Source organism: Homo sapiens, chromosome 7 (assembly GCF_000001405.40).
Source record: "Homo sapiens chromosome 7, GRCh38.p14 Primary Assembly".
Lineage (NCBI taxonomy): Eukaryota > Metazoa > Chordata > Mammalia > Primates > Hominidae > Homo > Homo sapiens.
Window position 1 is genome coordinate 32530909 of NC_000007.14, and position 25324 is coordinate 32556232.

The 25324-nt window shown below is 39.2% G+C and overlaps 1 protein-coding gene across 13 annotated transcripts in view; it reads left to right on the forward strand.

The window, feature by feature from the left end:
* AVL9 (AVL9 cell migration associated) overlaps window positions 1–25324 on the forward strand; it is a 93238-nt gene that overhangs the window by 35420 nt on the left and 32494 nt on the right. For all 13 annotated transcript variants that reach the window (XM_005249668.3, XM_005249669.3, XM_011515227.3 and 10 more), the window contains exons 2-8: window positions 12233–12353; window positions 13786–13871; window positions 17939–18010; window positions 20426–20515; window positions 21321–21387; window positions 22819–22859; window positions 23650–23688. In XM_005249668.3, coding sequence (XP_005249725.1) covers window positions 12233–12353; window positions 13786–13871; window positions 17939–18010; window positions 20426–20515; window positions 21321–21387; window positions 22819–22859; window positions 23650–23688 — 516 coding nt within the window. The remainder of the gene's footprint in view (window positions 1–12232; window positions 12354–13785; window positions 13872–17938; window positions 18011–20425; window positions 20516–21320; window positions 21388–22818; window positions 22860–23649; window positions 23689–25324) is intronic.

Below are 25324 nucleotides of genomic sequence, written 5' to 3' on the forward strand. Positions count from 1 at the left end.
TCATGCCACTGCACTCCAGCCTCAGTGACAGAGCAGGACTCCACCTATTAAAAAAAAAAGAGTTTATTTAAGAACAGAAGTTGAGGACTGCAGTCCAGGACACATTTCCAGTTTGCCTTGGGGAGTACTCCAGAGAACAAGAGAGGCTCAAGTTTTAAAGAAAAAAGACAAATGAGGGGCAGGGACAATTACAAAAGTTGTTCTTCAGGAATTCTCATTGGCTTACAGAAATGGCATTAGTTAGTGATTGCCTATACATTGTTGAGCTATAGGGTGTAACGCATTTTTTGGCTACTTGGCCTCAGTCTAGAGCTTGCATAGCAAGTGGCTTTAAGCGGTAATTATTTAGCTCAAGGTGGAATGACTTCTGGGTCTGCTAATTTAAAGGGGCTTGCATTCCTCAGATAAGTTTTCTTTTTCTTTCTCTATTTTATCAAATCTTACTTCAGTTTACTGTGTATATGCAGTTACATGTTAATGACCTTTATATGAATATACATGTTAATGAACATGTATATTCATATAACGTTCCAATGACTTTAAAGTGGAAAAACAGAATGATAGCGTCTTAATGTTAGTGCCTCAAGTACCATTAGCGTGAAAATCAGCTTCCTTAATCCTGAGGCAGGATATATCCCTGACCCCTTTGCGGGACTCACAACAGGGTACCTCCTTTACTCAGCCCACCGTTCTCAACTCCTCGCAGGAGGGAGCACACGAGCGAATGAGGTGGGAACTGGAGTGCACGAGCACTGGAGCTGACTGGCTGCTTCAGAGCTGATGGGATCAAACTCCACTCAGATCCACTGCATTCCACCCCTCGTGGAGGGAATGCACAGGTGAGTGGGTACAGGAGCCAAAGCGAGCGCTTTTGGACACCGGCAGGAGCAAACTCTGTGCAGGCCCTGCAGCAACATCTAGGTGGGGGTGCTTGTGACCCCCAAAGCCCCAGAGGGTGTGTTACAGTGTTCATTTCGCTCTTCCATCTGCAAACAGCTTAAGTGTTAACAGATCAGTGGGCCCTCTGCCTTTTTGCATGAGGCAGGTGTCCTCCACCAGGGCAGTGTGACCGCCTTTTGTATCCACACTCGTGGCTCCCAAGCTCTTGTCCAGCGTCCAGGAAAAATGAGGTCGCTTGAACGAATTGAAGGGTGGTAAATGCAGGGGATTTTATTGCCAATGAAAGTGGCTCTCAGTGGAAAGGGGAGCTGAAAAAGAGATGGGGCAGGTAGGTAAGCTTCCCCTGAAGTCCAGCCATCTCCAACCAGATTCTTTTCCAAAGTTAGGCCATCAAGCTGTCCCTCTGAAGTCAAGCCACTTCTCTCCAGTGTCCAGCCGTAGTCCCTGACATCTAGCTGCGTCTCTCTGCCAGCTGAGTCAGGGGTTTTTATAGGCACAGGATGGGGGCTGGGCAGGCCATGGATAGTTTAATGAAAGGCAATATTCTAGTGGAAAAACAAGTTCTCACTTTGGGCCACGGGTTTCAGGCTTTTCCACTTCAAGGTGGTGTTTTATTGGGGACCCACCCTTTTCTGCCTAGAATATCTCTACCTCCATCCCTATCAATATATGTTGACACAAGCAAAATGTCATTTTATATAATAGAGTCCTGATATTCTGTTTCACTGTGGTGGGATTCTCATAATAACAATTTCTACGTTAAAATTAAAATACACATTATCTATTTTCATGCTCATAATCCAAGTACTCCAATTTAAGGAATGTGAAATAATAGCTCTTTAATTCTAGGGAAAAAATAGAAGATAACAGCCTTTATTCACTTGAATGTATAAAAGTACATGCTTTAAACTAAGATACTTATTTCCATTTAATTTAAAAACAAACTTCTTGATGGGCTCAGTGACACATGCTTGTAATCCCAGCCCTTTGGGAGACCAGGGTGGGAAGATTGCTTGATCCTAGGTGTTTGAGAGCAGCCTGGGCAACGAAAAATGAAATAATTAACTGGGTGCAGTGGTGCACGCCTGTAGTCCCAGCTACTCAGGCTGAAGTGGGAGGACCACTTGAGCACAGGAGGCCGAGGCTGCAGTGAGCCCTGATCACACCAGTGCACAGCAGCTTGAGTGACAGAGCAAGACCCTGTCTCTTAAAAACAGAACAAGGCCAGGCACGGTGGCCTATAATCCCAGCACTTTGGGAGGCTGAGGCGGGTGGATCACTTGAGGTCAGGAGTTCAAGACCAGCCTGGCCAACATGATGAAACCCCGTCTCTACTAAAAATACAAAAATTGGCCGGCTGTGGTGGCAGGTGCCTGTAATCCAAGCTACTCGGGAGGCTGAGGCAGGAGAATCGCCTAAATCCAGGAGGTGGAAGTTTCTGTGAGCCAAGAGCATGCCACTGCACTCCAGACTGGGCGACAGAGCCAGACTGTGTCTCAAGAAAAATAAAAAATAAAAAATCTTACTTTTAATTGGTAAGTCTCAAAAGTACCATTTTACCTCTGCAGTATACACTTTATATTTCTGAACATCTAATGCAGTCATGAAAATGTTGTCATATTGAGGTATAGGAGTGTAAAGCGCAGCTGTTTCAAATCTATACTTGACAAATACAGTGATTTGTTGCCAACTTTGTAGTCGAGTGAGGAATAAATGCCAATTGCTTTGTAGTATTGACTTTTCAAGAGATATGAGAAAGAAACCATAACTGAGAAGAAAACATGTCTGATGCCCAGGGCTTTTTCGTTTTCTTTTGTTTTAAGCAGAAAACATGACAGAGCTTTGACTTTGCTGCCTAAAATATTATGACTATTAAGAAAATAAATACTTTGTGCTTCTGAGTGAAAAGAAAAAATCTCTGAGATACCGAGAAAGGAAGCAAAGAGGCAGAGCAGTTGTGAAGCACTCTCCTTCCTTCTGTAAGCCGTTGATATACGTAGGGTCCATGGATGTGGTTAATGTGTGTGCTAATAGTTTGGCAGTGTGGCTTCTATTTGCCGTATGGTTCTCTGGCAGTGGAACATAGTGCATTGTTAAAAAGTGAACAGAGGGTATTCCTGAAGTACTCAGAGTTCACACTAGGGTACTATGTTACTTTGTTTTTGTAGTTTTCTTGTTTTCTCAGTCTTTTTTTCTGAGGACAAAGTAAATGGAATCTGACTAGAGGACACCAATTTGGTTTATAAACTATGACAAAGCATGGTAATTTTTATTACTGGAGGACAAACATGTCACCCTTTCTTGCATAGTTCATTTAGCATTTAGAAAAATTGCTTTTTTATTCCTTGTGATCAGAGTCAGCTTTTACTTTTTAGAAATCAGCTATTGTCTTATTTTTCCCTCCTCTTCTCCCTTAGTAATCTTGTAAATCTAAAAATTAGAATCAAAATAGATTTGGCCACATGAATATTGGTTACATACAAAGTCATATTTGAAATTTGTGTGATTTAGTAGCAGCCTTTCTGGGGATATTTGATACATTTTTTATGCATTGCATGTATTAATGCCCTACCAGACATCTTTTTTTTTTTTAAGAGAAAAGCAAACAGAAGTTTATTAACATGATTACCTTGTGAATACATGGGAGATAACTCAGAAATGAGAAAATCTCAAGAGTAGATCTCAAAGAGGTGGCTTCAACTTCAGACTTACACACTTCATTCCCCAACACAAAGAATGAAGGGTGTAGGCCAGACAACCCTCATTCTCTGTTAAGACTACCTGGTGAAGAAGTGCAGGGTAAACAAAAGTGAGGTTTGTTATGCAGATTGAACTTGTGCTTTTTGTGTTGATAAGAGTTTCCAGTGATTTAGGCCTTTAATCCCAGCACTTAGGGAGGCCAAGGCAGGTGGATCACTTCAGGTCAGGAGTTCGAGACCAGCCTGGCCAACATGGTGAAAACCTCATCTCTACTGAAAAAAATATAAAAATTAGCCAGGTGTGGTGGCAGGCACCAGTAATCCCAGCTACTCGGGAGGCTGAGGCAGGAGAATCGCTTGAAACTGGAAGGTGGAGGTTGCAGTGAGCCGAGATCACATCAATGCACTCCAGCCTGGGCAACAGAGCCAGATCCTGTCTCAAACAAATAAATGAAAGTTTCCAGTGATTTAGTCATCCTTCTCTTCCTGGTACAGAAAGGAAGACACTCTTACAAATGTAGATATTCTTTATAAAATAAATTTCTCTTACAAAAATACAACTTTTACTGTTTTCAGAGCTTCTCCTGTGTCTGTTTCCCAAAATAATCAGTTTAAAGTAATCCTGTGCCAAAGAGGCATATTTGGAATGGCATATACTGGTGTCCTACAGACATATTTTGGGGTGTCATGTCCTGAACTCTACAGTTGGCTCCCTCCGCCTTATGGAAATGTAAATAAAATCTTTGGAGACCATTGGTTTCCACTGAGCTCCTTCATCAGCTCCAACAGACCAAACCAAGTTAGAGGTCCCTCCTGCTAAAGTTCGACGTCACCAATCTAAGTTATCTGACCTGAGAAATCAGGAGAAAGAGAAACAAAAGTCAAATCCCCAAACAGGCTAGTTTTAGCTGGCATGATAAGGGAGTCTCCTCTGCTTTAACCCTTAAAAGGAAAGTAACTTTGAAACTACTGATTTACTTTTTGTTCCTTATTTCTGCTTTCTTCAGCCTTTTACCCATCCCAAAATACTCACTACCCACATTGCAGAGATGAGCTCTCTCAACTTCTTGTTCTGAAGGTTACGTGACTGGTGAATTGTTCTTTGCTCAAATAAACTGTTAAATTTATCTTGGCAGACTCTATTTTGATCCCCAAATTTGATTTAGATTTGGGGCCATTAAATTTCACTATTTAATAATAACCCTACTGGATGAGAATAAGTGTTTCTCAATTTCTGGTGATATGGTTTGGCTGTGTCCCCACCCAGAATCTCATCTTGAATTATATTCCCCATAATCCCCACGTGTCAATGGCAGGACCAGGTAGAGGTAATTGGATCATGGGGGCAGTTTCCCCCATGCATTTCTCTTGATAGTGAATGAATCTCATGAGATCTGATGGTTTTATAAATATCTGGCATTTCCCCTGCTTGCACTCACTCCATTCCACTGCCCTGTGAAGCAGGTGCCTGCTTCTCCTTTGCCTTCCGCCATGATTATAAGTTTCCTGAGGTTTCCTCCCTAGCATTACAGAACTGTGAGTTAATTAAACCTTTCCTTTATAAATTACCCAGTCTCAGGTGTTTTTTCATAGCAGTATGAGGACTGATATATCTGGGTACTTAACATTGGTTTTCGTCTGTGGTTTTTTTACATATACTTAGGGCTGCCATGTACAGCTATATGTACTTCACGACACAATTGCAGGGAGAGCCATTCATGTAAATGACAATGTCTGTGGTTCTCCCTGGAGCTGTGCAGTGAGGCAGCCTACTACACTTATCATCACTTCTGTGGTGCTGGTTAGTTTAATTGGCATTACTATTTAAATTGTCTTGATTCAACTGAGTATTTAAGAGTCTCATGTTAACTTCCAAGAGAATTCCTCTTTAGCCTCTGTGCCATGAAATTTTGTGTCTGTGTGGATTAATTTGGATATATAGAAAGGGGACAGATATTCAGTCAGTATTTAAAACATGAAAAACATACAATTTAAGATTTAAATATACCATCAATTTGGAAATAACATTCTTTTTTTTTTCATGCTTAATCTCTGATAATTAGGGATTATCAGATAGCAACTGGGCATTCTACAATTCAGTCATATTGTGACATTACTCAGTTAACATCAAACTCTGTAAGGGCTCACTCAGTCCCACAAAACTGCCCTCACTTCAGGCACCAATCACAAGTCCTGGGTCCCCAGGCCACCCCACCTCTGTCTGACTTTGCTACCAATTCAGGGCTTCCCATAACCTTCTCTGAGGTTTGATAATTTGCCAGAATGACTCATAAAACTCAGGAAAACTCTTCGCTTGCATTCACTGGTTTATTATTAAAGGACACAATTCAGGAACAACCAGATGGAAGAGATGAATAAGGCAAGGTGTTGGTTGGTGGGTCAGGGAGTTTCCATGCCATCTTTAGCATGCTGCCCTCCCAGCACTTTGATGTGTTCAACAACCCAGGAACTCACTGAATCCCATTGTTTAGGGGTTTTTATGGAGGTTTCATTACATAGGCGTGATTGACTAAACCATTGGCCATTGGTGATAGAATTCAATCTCCAACACCGTTCCTGGGAGGTCAAGGGGTATGGCTGAAAGTTCCATCCCTTTAATCAAGGCTTGGTCTTTCCGGTGATCAGCCTCTGTCATGAAGCTATCTAGGTCCTCCTACCACTAGAGTCACCTTAGCATAAACTCAAGTATGATTGATTGGGGCTTATTATGAATAACAAAAGATGCTCCTATTACTCAGGAAATTCCAAGGATGTTAGGAGTTTTGTTCCAGGAATGAGGGACAAGGACCAAATATATGTATTTTTAATTATATCACATTTGAATATTCTGAAAAGTTTGCAGTAGTATAATGTTTTAAAAAACTAGAAAAACTCAACAATAGAGGATTGATATTAAAATAATGAAATAATATATATCCATTAGAAAGGAGTTTTTTTTTTTTTTTTTTTTTTTTTAGACAGAGTCTCTCTGTTGCCCAGGCTGGAGTGCAGTGGCGCCATCTCGGCTCACTGCAACCACCACCACCTGAGTTCAAGTGATTCTCCTGCCTCAGCCTCCTGAGTAGTTGGGACTACAGGCGCCTGCCACCACACCCAGCTAATATTTTTTGTATTGTCAGTAGAGACAGGGTTTCACCATGTTGGCCAGGATGGTCTTGATCTCCTGACCTCGTGATCTGCCTGCCTCGGTCCCCCAAAGTGCTGGAATTACAGGTGTGAGCCACTGCACCCGGCCAGAAAGGAGTTTTAATAAACAGTTTTGAACTTGATTAGCAATTTCAGCAGTTTCCAAATGGAAGTATTCGTTGGTAGAAAATCTACCAGCAGGAGAAGAGAATTATAGAAAGCTGCCAACACAGTACAGGCAGTCTGCAATTTATGAAAGAGTTGTGTTCTAAAAGTTGGCTGTTTGAAATTCTGAACACTTTCCCAAAGAAACAATGTTGTAAATACTCTGGGCCCAAGTCAGGCTAGAACAGCCTTAATTTTACCCATGGAATTCTTGGAATACATGTAGTATCCACACTTCTATTTATGACAGTTTTGAGTCAACTGCGTCTTCAGTTTCAGCTAGAACCATCTAAAACTGATCTTCCTTCAGTAGAGTTGCGAATTCGGAGAATATGTTAAGCATAGCATAGCTTCAGATATTAATTAAACTTCTGGCCAATGGCAACCTGTTAACTAAATCTTCAGAACAGAAGATAGATTTCTACACCTGCCCTTAACTCCAAGATTATAGGATGGAAATAAGATTTCCTTCAGAAGTTAAGAACTGCTTGTGATTGTCTTATTTATTTATTTATTTTTAATCCTAAAAGCAATACATATCCATTTAAAAATAATTAAAAGTAGAGGTAGTATGCTCCACTTGCTGTGAAATCATTTAGAAAATTGTTTTTGTGTACACATACAACACAGCTAGAACAAGTGTGGCTAAAAAAAGCAATGCAGTTGGTAAATAAAGATGAAGTTTGTTAGGTTGTTCATATTCTTTTAACTTTCTGTAAGTTTGAAAATTTCAAAACAAAATGGTGGCGATTTTTTTTAAAGTAACAGGAGTATTCGCTTATCTTCCATCCCCAACCTCATTCTCCTCTCCAGAGTTAAAACCTCTGCTAGCAGTGTATATAGATTTTCAAGTGTCTTTTCAAGCATGTTTTTTAAATCCATTTACAGAAAATTTTTTTTGCACAAACGGAATCACAGTATATACAGAATCATACTACAGTCACCAGTCAAGGGATTTTGTCCAAGACCCCAAGAGCAGGTTCTTGGCTCTCATGCAGGAAAGAATTCAGGGCAAGTCACAGAGTAGAGTGAAGTTAAAATGATTTACTACAGACTACTGAATTACAGAATAGGGCATCCTCAGAGAGCAAGAGGAGGGTGCACCCATTTCAATATAATGCTAATATGGGTTATTAAGAAAAGTGTACTTTGGCCAGGCGCAGTGCTCACGCCTATAATCCCAGCACTTTGGGAGGTCAAGGCGGGCGGATCACCTAAAGTCGGGAGTTTGAGACTAGCCTGACCAACATGGAGAAACCCCGTCTCTCCTAAAAATACAAAATTAGCCGGGCGTGGTGGTGCATGCCTATAGTCCCAGCTACTTGGGCAGCTGAGGCAGCAGAAACGCTTGAACCCGAGAGGCAGAGGTTGCGGTGAGCCGAGATTGTGCCATTGCACTCCAGCCTGGGCAACGAGCGAAACTCCATCTCAAAAAAAAAGAAAAGGAAAAGAAAAGTGTGCTTGTGACCAGCTTGTGACAGGCTGTTAGTGTTGTTACTTTCCTATGTTACTATTGATTTTAGCAAGAATTTATGAGTGTACTAATATTTTTAAAGCAAAACCTATTCTTAAACTAAGAATGCTTTTTGTTCTTAAAGTACTGGGACATTTCCATAAGTCCTGGGTCTTCAGTTAGTTAACATCATTAACTTGTTCTCTCAAACATAAATGCCTTGTGACCAACAGTGCCCAGTCTCCGGGAACATAACACAGCAGATTTGGCTTTATCCAGCCTTTATTCAAGATGGAGTCACTCTGGTTAGGGTGCCTCTGACACTGTTGACTGATATTCTACTTGCTTTTAAAATTTAACAGTATTTATTAGTTTTCTCTTGCTGCTGAAAAATTACCACAAATGTAGTGCCTTAAAACAACACAAATTTATTAAAGTTCTGAGGTCAGAATTCCGAAATGGGTTTCACTGGGCTAAAATCAAGGTGTTGGCTGGGCTCCATTTCTTCTGGAAGCTCCAGGAGAGACTCGATTTTCTTGCTGTTTCCACCTCCTAAAGGTCTCCTGCATTTCTTGTTTCATGGCCCTTTCTTCCATCTTTAAAGCCAATGGAATAGCATCTTCAAATATCTTTTTCACTGATTCCTCTGCCTCTCTTATAAGGACTCTGTGATTACACTTTACCCGCCTGGATAATCCCTAGCTCAAGATCCTTAATCATATCTGCAAAGTCCCTTTTGCCCTTTTGCCAAGTAAGGTAACAAATAGAGTCCGGGGATTAGGATATCTTTGGAAGGCCATTATTTCGCCTACCACATAGGATATTGTGGCCGTCTTGCTTTATCAGTATATATGAATCTGACATTCTTTTTAACAGCTGGACAAAACTGATATAAACCACTGATGTAACCACTCATGATGAATATTTAGGTTTCCCTTTTATGCTGAAATAAATTATACTGCTATGAACATTTTTGTATGTATCTGAATATGTGAGAGTATCTATGGGATAAATTTCTAAAACTGAAATTGCTGAGTCAAAGGTGGTAAAAGATAAATTTTGGCACATTAAGATTTTAAGAAGTGTATGTGAGCAGACAGTGCTTCATGAGTCAGGCAGCATCAAACCAGAAGTGGTTGGGGCTCTACTAAAGGAGCATGGGGAAGGCATTTATAGGGTGAATATAGAAGTAGAGCAAAGAAATTCTTTCATTAAAATTTGAGCAGTTGCCTTATTTTGGTCATGCCTGTGGGAAGTTCAAGAAGATGTAACTGATGCCCAGTTGGCTGCCTGTGATTGGCTGAGCTAAGCTTGGTGATCTTTTAAATTTACTTTTGGTTTGCTTAAGTATAAAACCCTGAGCCTTAAAGCCACCTCAGTCTAAGGGCCTCTCATTTTGTTATCTTAATTATCTTGATAATACGGCCAAGTTGCCCTCCAAACTGTTGTGCCAGTGTACCGTACATTCCTACAGCCGGCTTCTCCACTCTGTTGTCAAATATTCAGTCTTTTTAATGTTTTTCAGTAGATGGGTAAAAATTATATTAATTCAAATTGCATTTCCATGATTAAAAATGAGATTAAGCATTGTTGTACTACTTTTTTTTTTTTTTTTTTTTTTTTTTTTTTTTTTTTTTTTTTTTTGAGACGGAGTCTCGCTCTGTCGCCCAGGCTGGAGTGCAGTGGCGGGATCTTGGCTCACTGCAAGCTCCGCCTCCCGGGTTCACGCCATTCTCCTCCTGCCTCAGCCTCCCAAGTAGCTGGGACTACAGGCGCCCGCCACTACGTCTGGCTAATTTTTTGTATTTTTAGTAGAGACGGGGTTTCACCGTTTTAGCCGGGATGGTCTCGATCTCCTGACCTCGTGATCCGCCCGCCTCGGCCTCCCAAAGTGCTGGGATTACAGGCGTGAGCCACCGCGCCCGGCCTGTACTACTTTTTTTAGAATTTTCTGTATTAAACTTTTTGGACCCTAAAGAGAAACATATTTCATGATGCATCATGAGAATTGGGGTACATAATGTTTGTTTATTTAAAACCATGTTTATTTCATACAAAATTCATTTTAAATAAATATCTGTACATCAAAATTTAATGATTTTCAAAAAGATTGTTTAGTAATAATTACCAGGACTCCTTATGATAAATACTATATATGGGACTTTGGTATTGATTATATAAAATATAATTATTTATTTTTTTACATTTATTTTTGGTGTTAAAAAATAATTCTGAATTGGTAACTTTTTTAACTCTAAAATTGCCAACTTCATAACATCATCTTTGAATTTGTGTGTATCTTACCTCATTGTCACATCCTGCCTTCCCTCACACTTTAGAAAATTGTCCAACAAAGCAAACTGGGATGAAACCTGTATGATAAATATATAGAGAAGATACAGAGAAATGTAACTGGAGGTTATTTATGCCTCACCTTCAGTTAATTTTTTTTTTTTTTTGAGACAGAGTCTCACTCTTGTTGCCCAGGCTGCAGTGCAGTGGCGCAATCTCGGCTCACTGTAACCTCCACCTCCTGGGTTCAAGCAATTCTCCTGCCTCAGCCTCCTGAGTAGCTGGGATTACAGGCATGTGCCACCACACCTGACTAATTTTTATATTTTTAGTAGGGACGGGATTTCACCATGTCGGCCAGGCTGGTCTCGAACTTCTGGCCTCAAGTGATCCACCCGCCTCAGCTCCCAAAGTGTTGAGAATTCAGGTGTGAGCCACCGTGCCCAGCCAATTTTTCAGTTGATTTTAAATGATCTCTGGAAGAAAAGTTTTACTCCTTAATCTAAACTTTTAAAGAGTTCTTCTAAACGGAAAACGTTGATTGCTTCTGGAGATGGGAGCAGGGACTGGGTAGCTGGGGTGGTGATATCAAGGGTGGGAGGCAGTCTTTTTTACAGTCCTTTTTTTTTTTTTTTGGTGTCTTTAAACATTTTAAATATGGAATTGGATCACCTTTAGAAATAATCACGAATTGGCCGGGCACAGTGCCTCATGCCTGTAATCCCAGCACTTTGGGAGGCCAGGGCAGGCGGATTACCTTAGGTCAGGAGTTCGAGACTAGCCTGGCCAACGTGGTGAAACCCTGTCTCTAGTAAAAATACAAAAAAAAAAAAAAAAAAAAATTAGCCGAGCGTGGTGGCACACGCCTGTAATCCCAGCTACTCAGGACGCTGAGGCAGGAGAATTGCTTGAGCATGGGAGACAGAGGTTGCAGTGAGCTGAGATCATGCCACTGCACTCCAGCCTGGCTGACAGAGTGAGACTGTCTCAAAAAGAAAAAAGAAAAAAAGAAGAAACAATCATGAATTTTAAATTCAGTGGACAAAAATTTTAAATCATTTTTAAAGCCCTTTTACCGTTGGCTTTCCTGTGATTCAAGTGGCAGCTTGATTTCATTGAAATGTGGAAAGATGAGCCATCCTATTTTTCCACATTAAAGGATTGGTTCCAAAAGTGATTCTGGGCTCAACTTGGGGCTCCTTTGTTGGACCTCTCCTACTCAATTCAGTAGGCTGTTGGTTTTCCTCAGGGCCCTGTGGCTTCAATTACCATCTGTTTGATGACAGCCCCCAGATATCAATCTGCAGTTCAATCACCAACCCCACTACCATTATGCACATTAAAGTTTAACCGACCTTAAATCAGAAAGTGGAGAAAGGCTTATAAACTTTTCCTCCTTTTACTGCTTTTTTTCCCCCTCTTCCATGCCATAGGTTTGCTGATGATATCAAATGACATTATACAGTGTGGCTTATCCCGACTTCTGTCATTCAGGGTTTAAAAGCATTTTTACCTATCAGAATAAAATGCTTCCTTTGGTCAACCACCTTTTGGCTAACATTCCTTACTATTTTAGGTTGAATTCTCTTACCCGCCCCTGATTCCAGGAGATGGACATGACAGCCACACTTTACCTGAAGAATGGAAGTATTTGCCCTTCCTTGCCTTACCAGATGGCGCACACAACTACCAGGAAGGTATGTAACAAGACAGTGAAGCAGTTAGGTGCCATTTTTGAAAAAATTTGCCAAGATATCTTAGGTTCTAAATACTTAGAAATTAAAGGCCTTCAGCCTGTTAGAACTATTTATAAAATATTTACATGCTTGTTTGGAGATAACTAGTCATTCACTAGAGCACCTCTAAAGGAGTGCCAGGCTTACATTGGCTGTGGCTGGTGAACCTTGGCCACGCTTCTGCCAAGTGATTAGCCAGAGCAGGACAGCCACCACTGGAAGCACTTCCTACATCTATACTTCATACTCCTCAGAGGCAAATCAGGGGGCTTACCAGCACCAGCTGTACATTGCTTGGGACTCTAGCTGCATACTTGCAGTACTAGGTTATCACTCCAGTGCCCACCTTAGAAACAGCTGAGATTGTTTTTGTGCCTCTGGAACCATTGCTGTCACAAGTACTCTGCTTGCAAGGTTGCTTGCTTGCATGCGGAGCATGTTAACACCCTCAAAGAAAGCAGGGCTGTGAAGTTCTTACCGAATCTCTTACCACCCTATAACTGAGTACTTTGCCTGACTTAATGAAGGACTGTATTTTACTATGGTATTTGATGCTCTACAAAAATGTTTTTGTTGTTACTGTTGCTATTGATTTTCTTTCTTTCTTTCTTTCTTTTTTTTTTTTGGAGATGGAATCTCACTATGTTGCCCTGTTGCCCAGGCTGGTCTCAAACTCCTGAGCTCCTGAGCTCAAGCAGTTCTCCTACCCCAGCCTTCCCAGTAGCTGTGGTTATAGACGTGAGCCACTATGCCTGGCTCTGCCACCATGCCCAGCAAAAGGACTGCTACAAACATGTGAATTAAGATTATAGCAAATGTTCTACAGATTTTCTTTATATTTGTGTATGTGTATAATTTTGTCTGTACTATCTATCTGAAAGTCAGTTGCAAACATTGTGACACTTTAAATACTTAAGATCTGAGAATGAGATCATTCCCCAGTGTAACTTCCAGTACCATTATCACAGCTAAGAGATGTAACAGTAATTTCATAATACTATCTAACATCCAATCTGTGTTCAAATTTTCTCAGTTGTCCCCCAAATTTCTTGTATTCATTCAAGGTTCGTGTGTTGCTGTTGGCTTTTATGACTGTCTACTTTCTTTTCATCTAGAACGATTCCCTAAAGATTAAGTATTTTCTGTAATTGTAGTCTCAGTTTGACCTGTTATAATTCAGTCTCTTGGGCTTTTTGTGATGAGTATTTACCATAAAGCAATGAGAAAAATTCTAGGAAACCATTGGTTGTGGTGCTACAAATAAGTATGATTTGGATTCCTTGTTTTATCATCATTTTTGTGTTAATGACTGCATTATGATAGCTTCAGATTATACTACTTATTAATAAGGGTAATTCACCTCACTATTTACATTTTTCTATGTATCTCTTAGATACTGTGTTTTTTCACTTGCCACCCAGAAATGGAAATGGAGCCACAGTATTTGGTATCTCTTGCTATCGACAAATTGAAGCCAAGGTACGATAGTTAATAGTGAAAAACAATTCCAAAGTCCCTTCTTAGATGTTGGACACTTAAACACAGTCTTTATTTTTCAGTGGTGCCTGTAATGTTGTTTTAGATTTTTGTATACAATTTGTAGCTGTTTTTTCAATAGTGCCAGTTTATTCACAGAAACATTTTATTAAGTTGACATTGGTGGCTATGCTTATATTTGTATCACAATATTTTGTACATTGCTTTTAGATAGTGATACATAAATTATCTATTTGTCTTTTAAATACTGTATTTACATTTCAAGATGTCTTTGAATTTTCTGTTTCTAGTGTTTGGCATATAACTTAGAAAAATTGAGTGGTAATGCTTGTGTGTTTTTTAGTTTTTTTATTTTTTTAAAGACAGGGCCTTGCTATTTTGCCCAGGCTGGTTTTGAACTCCTAGGCTCAAGGGATCCTCCTGCCTCAGCCTGCTGAGTAGCTGGGACTACAGGTGTGCACCACTGTGCCTTGCTTTTTTTTTTTAAGCAGCATTTCAGAAGTAGTGGAACGTGCTTAGAGGGGCTCCCAACTACTCATAAGCTGTCCTATTTATCTCTAAGATTTCTTTTTTTTTTTTTTTTTTTTTTTTTGAGGAGGAGTCTCACTCTGTTGCCTAGGCTGGAGTGCAGTGGCACAATCTTGGCTCACTGCAGCCTTGACCCTGAGCTCAAGCCCTCCTCCCATCTCAGACTCCCAAGTAGCTGGGATACAGGTGTGTGCCACCACACCCAGCTAATTTTTGTATTTTTTTATGGAGACAAGGTTTCACCATGATGCCCAGGTTGGTCTCGAACTCCTGAGCTCAAGTGATCTGCCCATCTCAGCCTCTGCAGGCATGAGCCACTGTGTCCAGCCTTGATTATTCTTAAACTACCTGCTAGCTTAATGCCTGACTTACTATAATAGCTCTAATTGATAAATTCAAATAAGCCAAGATGGTGGCCCCACCTTTCATGGTTTGCTTATGTGTAGCACTGTTTTTTTTGTGGTGGGGATAATCTTGATGAGTAAAAAGCTCTTTCCTCTCAAAAGGTCATTAATACTCTAAAGTAGTGAGTGGTTCTTAGTCTCAGCTGCACATTGCAATCACCTGGAGAGCTTTAAAAGCTAGGATGAGTGGGTCTGCCCCCGCCCCAAAAGATTCTGATTTAATGATCTAGACATGGGAGGTGGGAATGTTTTAAAAGCTCGCCAGGTGATTTTTCTGCCTAGTCAAGATTGACAACCACTGCTCTGAAACAATGATTTTTAACTAGAATTACCTGGAGACTTTTTTTTTTTTTTAAATATCTGTACCTAGCTTTTCCTCCTAGTGACTGAATTAGAATCGCTGGGATTTGAGCCTGGACAATTAAAAGTTTTAAAAGCTTCCTCGGGTGAATAATTAGTAAATCTTTTTCTAACTTGTTATGAAGGAAATTTCAAATATGCAGGTAAATTTAAAACATAGTACCTTGAGTACCTGTGTACCCATCACCTAGACTCATAGACTGTGTGTCTCTTTTTCCCCTGACCCACTTAAATGTAAACCATGGGTGTAAATTCCAGGATACCCAAAGTAGGTAACTACCATGAAGTAACCCTCTAAGCACAGGGCCTGGAACCTGGAACACCCATGTTATGTCATGAATAACTGAATCTAAAGCTAAAGATATTATGTCAAATAATAACATACACCTTAAATGTATACAATTTTTGTCAATTATACCTCAATGAAGCTGAGAAAATAAAGAGAAAAGAGGCTGGACCCCGGTGGCTCACACCTGTAATCCTAGCACTTTGGGAGGCCAAGGCGGGCGGATCACGAAGTTAGGAGATCAAGACCATCCTGGCTAACATAGTGAAACCCCATCTCTACTAAAAATATAAAAAAATTAGCCAGGTGTGGCAGCGCACGCCTGTAGTCCCAGCTACTCGGGAGGCTGAGGCAGGAGAACTGCTTGAACCCAGGAGGGCAGAGGCTGCAGTGAGCCGAGATGGCGCCACTGCACTCCAGCCTGGCAGCAGAGCGAGACTCCCTCAAAAAAATAAAAAAAATAAAAAATAAAAAGATAAAAGAAACCTGAGAGTAAGAGTTTGCCTGACAGCTTTGAGCAGTTGATGTTTTCATATACTATTGTAATCGAACCCAGGTTTGGCTGCATGCTGCTCAAAAGACAGGAGAGAAGAGAGTTGCTGGGAGGAAAAGCAGATTTATTTGGAAAGCCAGCTAGATGGTGAGCTAGCATTCTAAAGTAGCATCTTAAATTTTTCAGTCTGGCTGGAGGATTTTTATGGGAGAGGGATATGGGGAAGAAGAGGAAGTTGGTATCAAGAGGTGACACACAGACATCTGGGTACCAGCGAGGGTCCAAGGAATTTGGATACTTCTTTGTCATTGGTCAGGCCACAATGCTCCTATAAATCTTTAACAAAACATAGTTAGTTGTTTACATACTTTTTAAATCCCAGAGTTGGTTTTAAAACCTGCATGATTGCCATTTTTGCATATTATCTTAGTGCTCTAAAATTATCCTTGCCTATGTGCACAAATAGGGAAACGCTGCCTAAAAAATGGAGTTAGTTATGTTCTTTTGCTACTTCACTGTTACACTATTATCTTTACATACTTATATGTGAGATGAATTGAGCTGCTGTCCGTTCTTGGAAATCTGTTCCTTTTAATACCTTTTATTACCCGTATGTCATGTAAGCACTAGTAAAATTATTTCTACCAAGTGGGTCTTATCCCTCAGTGCTGTTTTAACAGCCCTCGTGCTCTGCATAGCCTTTAAATACTGCCTGTCTCCCCACTCCCTGGTTCTGACCCACTCAGGAGTACATTAGAGTTGCCCATTTTCCCAGTGATTGCTGTCCTTCTCAATAGATAATAGGCAATAGAAGCAGACAGATAAACCAATTATTGGAGGGACCTTGAGCCTGGAAGAAAGACTTCAACTCCTTTCGAATGAAGATAAGACAGTGGATGAATCCAATCAGGAGGAAGGATTCTACTCCACAGCTAATTTAAAGTCTGTTCATCAGTCATCAGTTGAAAACATGGGGGCCCCTTGGTCCTCAGGACAGATCCAAGAAGGTGTCAGGCAGTACACTAGAGGAGGAAGTCTTTCTTACTTCCCTCACAGCCTTGCCTGAGGTTAATCAAATGAAGATTTGCTCTCTACTAGAAGAGGACTGTAGAAATCTCACATAGTCATCCTCACAATCACTGAGAAATAAGTTATGTGCTTGTGTTTGGTGCTGGGCGCCAATACAAGTGTCCAGGCAACATGGAACAACTAACTTAACAAAATTGCTGGCAGTTCTTCCATCTCTGGAGAACAAGCTGTCTGTTTTTGTCATCTCTTTTTTCTTTTTTTTTTTTTTGAGACGGAGTCTCACTCTTTCGCCCAGGCTGGAGTGCAGTGGCGTGATCTCAGCTCACTGCAACCTCTGCCTCCCGGGTTCAAGCAATTCTCTTGCCTCGGCTTTCCAAGTAGCTGGGATTACAGGCTTGTGCCACCACACCTGGCTGATTTCTGTATTTTTAGTAGAGATGGGGTTTCACCATGTTGACCAGGCTGGTCTCAAACTCCTGGCCTCAGGTGACCCACCCACCTCAGCCTCCCAAAATGCTGAGATTACAGGCTTGAGCCATTGCTCTTGGCCTTTTGTCGTCTCTTAAACTAGCCCCTTCTCACCAGAAACAATGGTCTCTGAAAGGACTGTCCATTTATAACCAGAATCAACAGTGATTGATTTGCATTGAATGGCTGATTTGGGCCTGGTGACTTATACATAAAGTATTTTCCATGAGATTATAAATTCCTTGAGATTCGGGATTGTCCATTCACTATTATATTCCCAGTGCCTCCCACAGATTCTGGCACATAGGCCCAAACTGACATTTATTTGTTCAGTATTTCCTGAGAGTCTTAATAAAAAACTTTTTGAATTTAACTGAATGTAAGAAATTTCTTATATATAATTTCTATTTTTATGTTGAAAAAATATTTTTGAAATATTGCTATGAAATATTTCTGATAAATTGCTCTTTGTTCATAATAGGCACTGAAAGTAAGGCAAGCAGATATCACCAGAGAGACTGTTCAGAAAAGTGTCTGTGTTCTAAGCAAGCTGGTAAGAGACGAAGTAACTTGTTCATTATGTTAAACCTTCATGGCAGATCTTTCTTTAAGGATAAGGCACTATTAGAATAAGAAGAGATTTAAATGACATATTAAAATTATTTATGCCCTAGCATCTCCTCATTCTCTTTCCCTTTCAGCAGTTTTCATTTGCACCTCTACCCAAGACTTGGTAAGAGAAAGGAGATCTTATAGCTATTGGAAAGTAAGTTGACACATAAACAAAATGAGGTAGCTGATATATTTCATTTATCCATTTTGGTTTTGTCCAAAAAAAAAAAATTTTATATATATATATATATAATTTTTTTTTTTTGAGACAGAGTCTCACTCTGTTGCCCAGGCTGGAGTGTGGTGGCGTGACCTTGGCTTACTGCAACCTCTGCCTCCTAGGCTCAAGCAATCCTCCCACCTCAGCCTCCTGAGTGGCTGGGACCACAGGCATGCACTACCATGCCTGGCTAATATTTTTGTATTTTTGGTAGAGACGAGGTTTTACCATGTTGCCTACGCTGGTCTCAAACTCCTGAGCTCAAGCAACCCACCCGCCTCAGCCTTCCAAAGTGCTGGGATTGCAGGAGTGAGCCATCGTGCCCAGCCAAAATCTTATTTCATCCAAAATAAAATTTTGAGGATGAGAATATTTCTTCCAAGAAGTAATTTTATACATAAGGCAAGAATAGTCTCCTAGAAAAGGAATGGCTGTGGCCGGGCATGGTGGCTCACGCCTGTAATACCAGCACTTTGGAAGGCCGAGGTGGGCGGATCATGAGGTCAGGAGTTTGAGACCAGCCTGACCAACATGCTGAAACCCTGTCTCTACTAAAAATTAAAAAAAAAAAAATTAGCCAGGCACGGTGGTGCACCCCTCTAATCCCAGCTATTCAGGAGGCTGAGGCAGGAGAATCACTTGAACCCAGGAGGTGGAGGTTGCAGTGAGCAGAGATCAGCCACTGCACTCCAGCCTGGGCGACAGAGGGAGACTCCGTCTCAAAAAAAAAAAAGAAAGAAAGAAAAAAAAGAAAAGGAATGGCTATTATAAAAGACCCCAATGTCAGAAAATTGATCAATTATTCATCTGATTCCTGTACACACCTTTGAGAAGAGTAGCCTGAAAAATATACATGAGTGAATAGCTTTTTTATACTGGACCAGATGACAGAAGAGTAAGAGTACCAGATATTAAAGGAAGTGCAACATGTTAAGAGGCTTCCTGAGTAATCATTCTTCAAAGGACGATTACAATAATAATAGATGCCATTTATTGAGTGCCTATATATCAGGCATTAATTCTGTACCAGACACTTTTTATATGTAATTGTCATTTCCATCCTTATAACAATATTGAGACATATTTACTGTTCTCATTTTGTAAATAAAGGCATATCTCAGAAAAAATGTGTAATTCTCACAGACATGTAACTACTAAGTGATAAAATTGGGGTAAAAAAATCGAGTTTTATCTGTCTCTAAAGCAGACACAAGGGATGGGAAGAGGGTAGCTTACTCAGAAAGGTCTGGTTGTGGTTTTTCTGGTCTATGTATTGAAGTCTATGTATAAATATAAATGATTTTATACTTTGATGGGAATCATGATATATTAACAGGGATACTGGGAAAGAGACTCTTCCAGTATTACTTGTTTTTAATTAATTAGAGTATATATACATCATTGGTCATTACATCCTGAAATGGACATAGAAATGAGAAAACATCTAGAAAAGAACATTACAAATAAAAAGATGAAAATGGTAGAAGATTCTAAATAGAGAAATAAGCATTAAGGGATAACTTTGCTCAAATATATAAAACAATATTATGATAAAGGACACAAACTAGTTGTTGTGAGCCTCCACAGAGGACAAAAAATGTAATCATGAATGTTCAAATAGATATAAAAACAAGCTGTTATAAGGATGATTAAATGTCGCTACAGGCCAGCAAAAAAGTGTGCAGAATTAGAATATGTTTTAAATCATATAATAGTAATCGCTAATGTTTGGATACTTTCTATGTGTCAGATACTTTTTACCAAGTGCTTTTACCTGTTATTTAATCCTTAAAACAGTCAAGTAAGAGGTACTATTTTCATATGCCCATGTTCAGATCAGCAAGCAGAGGTGGAGAGGTTAAATTCCCAGAGCTGAGTGATGGAGCCAGGCCCAGCAAGTCTGAGCCCACACTCTTAAGCACTGTACTCAGTGTTTCAGGTACTTTTCACTTGTAGCCAAAGAACAGATGACTTCACGGCTTTCAACTATGAATAATACGCACTAAAGTTGATAGTTACTAACTTTTTTCTCCAAATTAAAAAGTTGTGGGGTTCTGTTTGTTTTACTATTATCAACCAATTTTACTGTTATCAACTAATTATTAATCAATGGTAATTTCTCTTTTTTCCTTTAAGCCTCTGTATGGTTTACTTCAAGCAAAACTTCAACTCATTACACATGCATATTTTGAAGAGAAGGATTTTTCCCAAATTTCTATTCTAAAGGTAACTTTATACCCCTCTATAGATGTGTTTGGCTGAAGATAGACTCATGAATCAAGTAAATATTGTCAGTAATACTGTGAAGGATAATTATTACCTTAAGAAAGACATTCTAATGTGAAAACGCATTTGCATTAAAACATTGAAAGACTAGGAATCTGCCCAAATACTAAATTTAACCAAACTTTTTTTTTTTTTTTTTTTAGGAAATAATGACTACAAATAACTATAACTAACAGTAATGTTTCTCTTAGTGGATAATAGCCCTTTTGCTATGGCATTGCTTCTGTAAATTTGCTTATCTTATTAATAAACTGCACAGTATTTTTATATATTAGGTTTCTGGTTCCTAGTTCCCAATACATAGATCAGAAAAACCACATGATTATTTTATTGAAAATGGACAGCATGTTTTCCTCAGTGCTGCCATTCATGTAAAGAATATGGATCTCTCTTGGATTCTGGTGGGAGTAGGACATCTAGGGACTTAGCAAGGGAGCAGAGGGGATTTATACTAGGAATTCATACCACTATGTGAATGAACCACGCTCTAAAATGTAGAGGGAGAAAGGAATACCCTGAGTAGCTTTTCATACTCAACTGCCCACGTCTCTTCTGATACTGCTCATATCCAGAAGAGAAGAAATGAGAACTGGCAAGGTTGCAGAGAGGCTTGATTGTTTTTAAATTTAGCGCCTAGCAGAACAAACTACCTCAATTAAGGAATCAGCTTTTTTCTGATCAATATATTTCTAATTCAGATCTAAAATGATAGTAAAATGTGCTAAATTCAATCTATATTTTATAGGAGCTTTATGAACATATGAATAGTTCCTTGGGAGGTGCTTCATTAGAAGGATCCCAAGTATATCTTGGTAAGTAACTGACTTACAAGTTAAAAGAGATCCCCTCATTTCTATTTGTTTAGCAAACTGAGTTGCGTGTAAAACTTTGATTAGAATTACATCTCTATATGGGATCTAAATTCTTCAACATTTGATGCTGTTTCTTCCTTAAATATCTTCTTAGCCAGTGTTTATACTGAGAAGAGTATTAGAACATACCAGGTTTACAACTATTAACGTACAAGGTGAATTTCTGCCTTTTTTTTTTTTGAGACAAACTACCTCAATTATCATTGAAAATGGATAGCATTTTCTCACCCAGGCTGGAGTGCAGTGGTGTGATCATGGCTCACTGCAGCCTTGACCTCCTGGGCTCAAGCAATTCTCCTGCCACAGCCTCCTGAGTAGCTGGGACCACAGGTGCATGCCATCACTCCCAGCTAGTTGGTATTTTTTGTTTGTTTGTTTTGGGTTTTTTTTGTAGAGACAAGGTGTCCCTATGGTGCCCAGGCTGGAATTTCTACCTTCTAGGATAGTAATGGAAGTTTTTTATTGTTTTTTCTTTTCTTTGCGTTAATGCTGACCAGCTTAATTCCCTATCATAACAGATGAAGCAAGATAGAAAGCTGCTCAGCTCTTTTATAAGATTCTTCAGGTTAGGGATTTTTGTTTAATTTATACTATCTTGACAACCCAGAATATCCACTGGTAGCCAAAATATTCAATGGGCAACTCAATAAATATCCATTTTGTGATTAAAACTTTTTAATCACATAGTGGTTTATGCTCACTCAATTCCAATTTCAGCATGCAGTTGCCAATTGTGGTAGTTTATGATTGCAATCCTCTGTGTAATGTAAACTATTATTCTGCATAATATGAGGTCCTATTCTGAGAACATATTTTTGTCTAAATTATTTTCTCTTGTACTGTGTTGTTTCAGGCAGGTGATAGACTGTGTTTCAGAAATAATAACATATGAAGTGCCATGACCAAAAACCTTGTTTAATCATTGATTGCCACTATAATATAAGCTATATCATTTCTAAACTTGTGTAGTTTATGTTTATAGAATGGGGAAATGTGTTAAACCTGCACTGTCCAAAACAGTAGCTACTAGCCACCTATAGCTGTCTACATTTAGATTAAAATTAATAAAATTTTAATAAAACTTAAGTCAGTTTGTCTCAGTCACACATGCCACATTTCAGTTGCTCTGTATTGGCTACTGTATTGGACAAGACAGGTTTAAAATATTTTCATCCTTGCAGAAAGTTGTACTGAACAGCACTGTTTCTGAGTATATGTGTACCTAATCAAACATTACAGAAATATTTGGATATTTGCATATTCCTACTTTTTTTTTTTTTTAACCTTTCTTTCTGTTAAGGGGGAAATAACCTTTCTGCAGCAAAAACATTACATTGTAGTCACACTTGAGCTTTTTTGTTAACATTGTAGGTCTGTCACCTCGAGATCTTGTCCTTCATTTTCGACACAAGGTATGGTACCTTATTTAAATAAATTTATGATGTACAGTACTAAAATGGCCAACACTGTTCTTAGTGTGCTCATTTAACTGCCAAATTCAGTGTGCTAAATTGAATGCAGATTGTGGCATACCATGCTTTAGTTCTTCTAAGATGTACTTGGCCTTATAACTATACAAAATTAAAAGTGTTGGTAGTGCTTGTATTGTAGAAATTTAAAAGAGCACAAATACTGTTTACTTCTTTGCAGGATAGGGTAATTTTTTCTATTGTTTTTGCAATTTCATCGATCATGAGATTAGAGTGGAAAGAAACATGTTTTGATCTTGCAGAATATTTTATATGTTGCCCTGAGAATGGAGCATTTTTCAATAAAACATCTATATATACTTATACCTTCTGATCTTTATTATTAAAGCAGATGTTGACTAGGATATAAACACATTGATTATTTATTTAACAAACATTTACTGAGCACATGCTATGTGAACACTCTGGACATCCAGAAATAAAGTATTTATTTAAAGAGCAGGGTCCCCTTTAAAGAGCTTACAGATACTTCAAGCAAAAATGGTACCACCCCTTCAAGAAAAAATAATTTCAGTTAGAGATTTAAGTGATTCTCACATTTAAGAGTACACAGGTAATATTTAACTTCTCAGTATAAGTTCATAATTTTTCATGTACTTTTTAAAGTGCTGTATTTAGTATTACTGATTATGGTTATGTTTTAGGAGGGGAAAAGATGAATTATAGGCGTGAGTCTCTCATTTCAATACAACATTTTTTTTTCCTTTTGCAGGTCTTAATCCTATTTAAGCTAATTCTTCTTGAAAAAAAGGTACGATCCTAAGGGATGAAAGGAAAGATGGAGTATTTAACTTTTATTCACTTTTTTTTACATTATTTCATAAAATTGAAACTAATGATAAAGTATTAAGATACTTTTTGCCTATCATTGTGGTAAGCTGAAGCACATTTTCTTGTTCTCTGCCGTAAAAATATAAATTCATGCAGCTTTTCTGTAGGTAACATACAACTCAATTTTAAGCTGACTTAAATAGAAAGGACATATTGGCTCACTTTGGATTTCAGGATTTGACTCAGTGGCTCCATAGTGTAATTAAGTGCCTAGGTTTTTTCCATCTCTTTGCTCTACAGTGCACAGTGCTAGCTTGTTCCAGGGCCTAGTTTCCCTGGTAGTATAGGGAACTGCCGACAGTAATTGGGTTATTTGCTTCCTCAGTCATAACTGCTGGCAGAAATAATACCTCCTCCTAAACAATCTAATAAGAATTCTTGGCCGGGCACGGTGGCTCACACTTGTAATCCTAGCACTTTGGGAGGCTGAAGCAGGAGGATCACTTGCGCTCAGGAGTTTGAGACCAGCCTGGGCAACATGGTGAAAGAAACCCCATCTCTACAAAAAATACAAAAATTAGCTGGGTGTGGTGGCATGTGCCTGTAGTCCCAGCTACTTGGGAGGCTGAGGTAAGAGGATGGCTTGAGCTTGGGAGGTAGAGATTACAGTGAGCTGAGATCGTGCCACTACACTCCAGCCTGCAAACAGAGCCACTGTCTCAAAAAATAACAATTAAAAAAGCAATAATTATTTCCTTCAATTTGTTTGGGCCTATTACAGGCCACACACATGGCTACTCCTGTGGCCAAATACATGTTTGCCCTGATTGGCTTAAACTTGGGTTCCTGACCACTCCCTAATACAAAGGGATGGGTTTGCCATGATTGGCTTAGTCCCAAGGCCAAATCTGACCTACTACCTATTGTTATACATAAAATTTTATTGGAAATCAGACCCATTTATTTACTTGCTGTTTATGGCTGCTTTCACACTGTAGTGGCAGAGTTGAGTAGTTGTGACAGACCATATGGCCCGCAAAGCAAAAATATTTATCTGACCTTTTAGAGAAAAAGTTCACCAGCCTTTGGTTTAGACTAATCAGGAGCCATCCTTGGATCTGGGCCAGTTTTATACACCGTATTACTGTGCCTAGTGGAGTCGGGGTTGAAAGAATGTTGGGGAGTCGACCATGCACAATATCCACTTTAGTTCATTACCTTAAAAATATTCCTTTGACCCAGTAATTCTCCTGTTAGAGATCTATTTTCCAAAATTAATCTGAATTGGACACAAAGCTCTAAGAGAGTCTATCACAGAATAATAAATTATAAGTGAGTAACTATTAGTTTATCTTGTATGTTGTATAGAATTTCAGACAATAAAAAAGATACTAAGATGTTTTTATTGTTTTAAAGATTTTCATGGCATGTTAAGTGAGAAAAGTTTGTCTACAACAAGTCAAGCCTATGATCCCATTTTATAAATGAATATATATTAATTGAAAAGGGACTGGAAGTAAAGATATCAACCTAGTTTGGTGAGAACATAGGTTATTTTTTTTAAAGGGAATATTTTTCTGTATCCTATTTTTCTATAAGAAATATATATTCCTTCA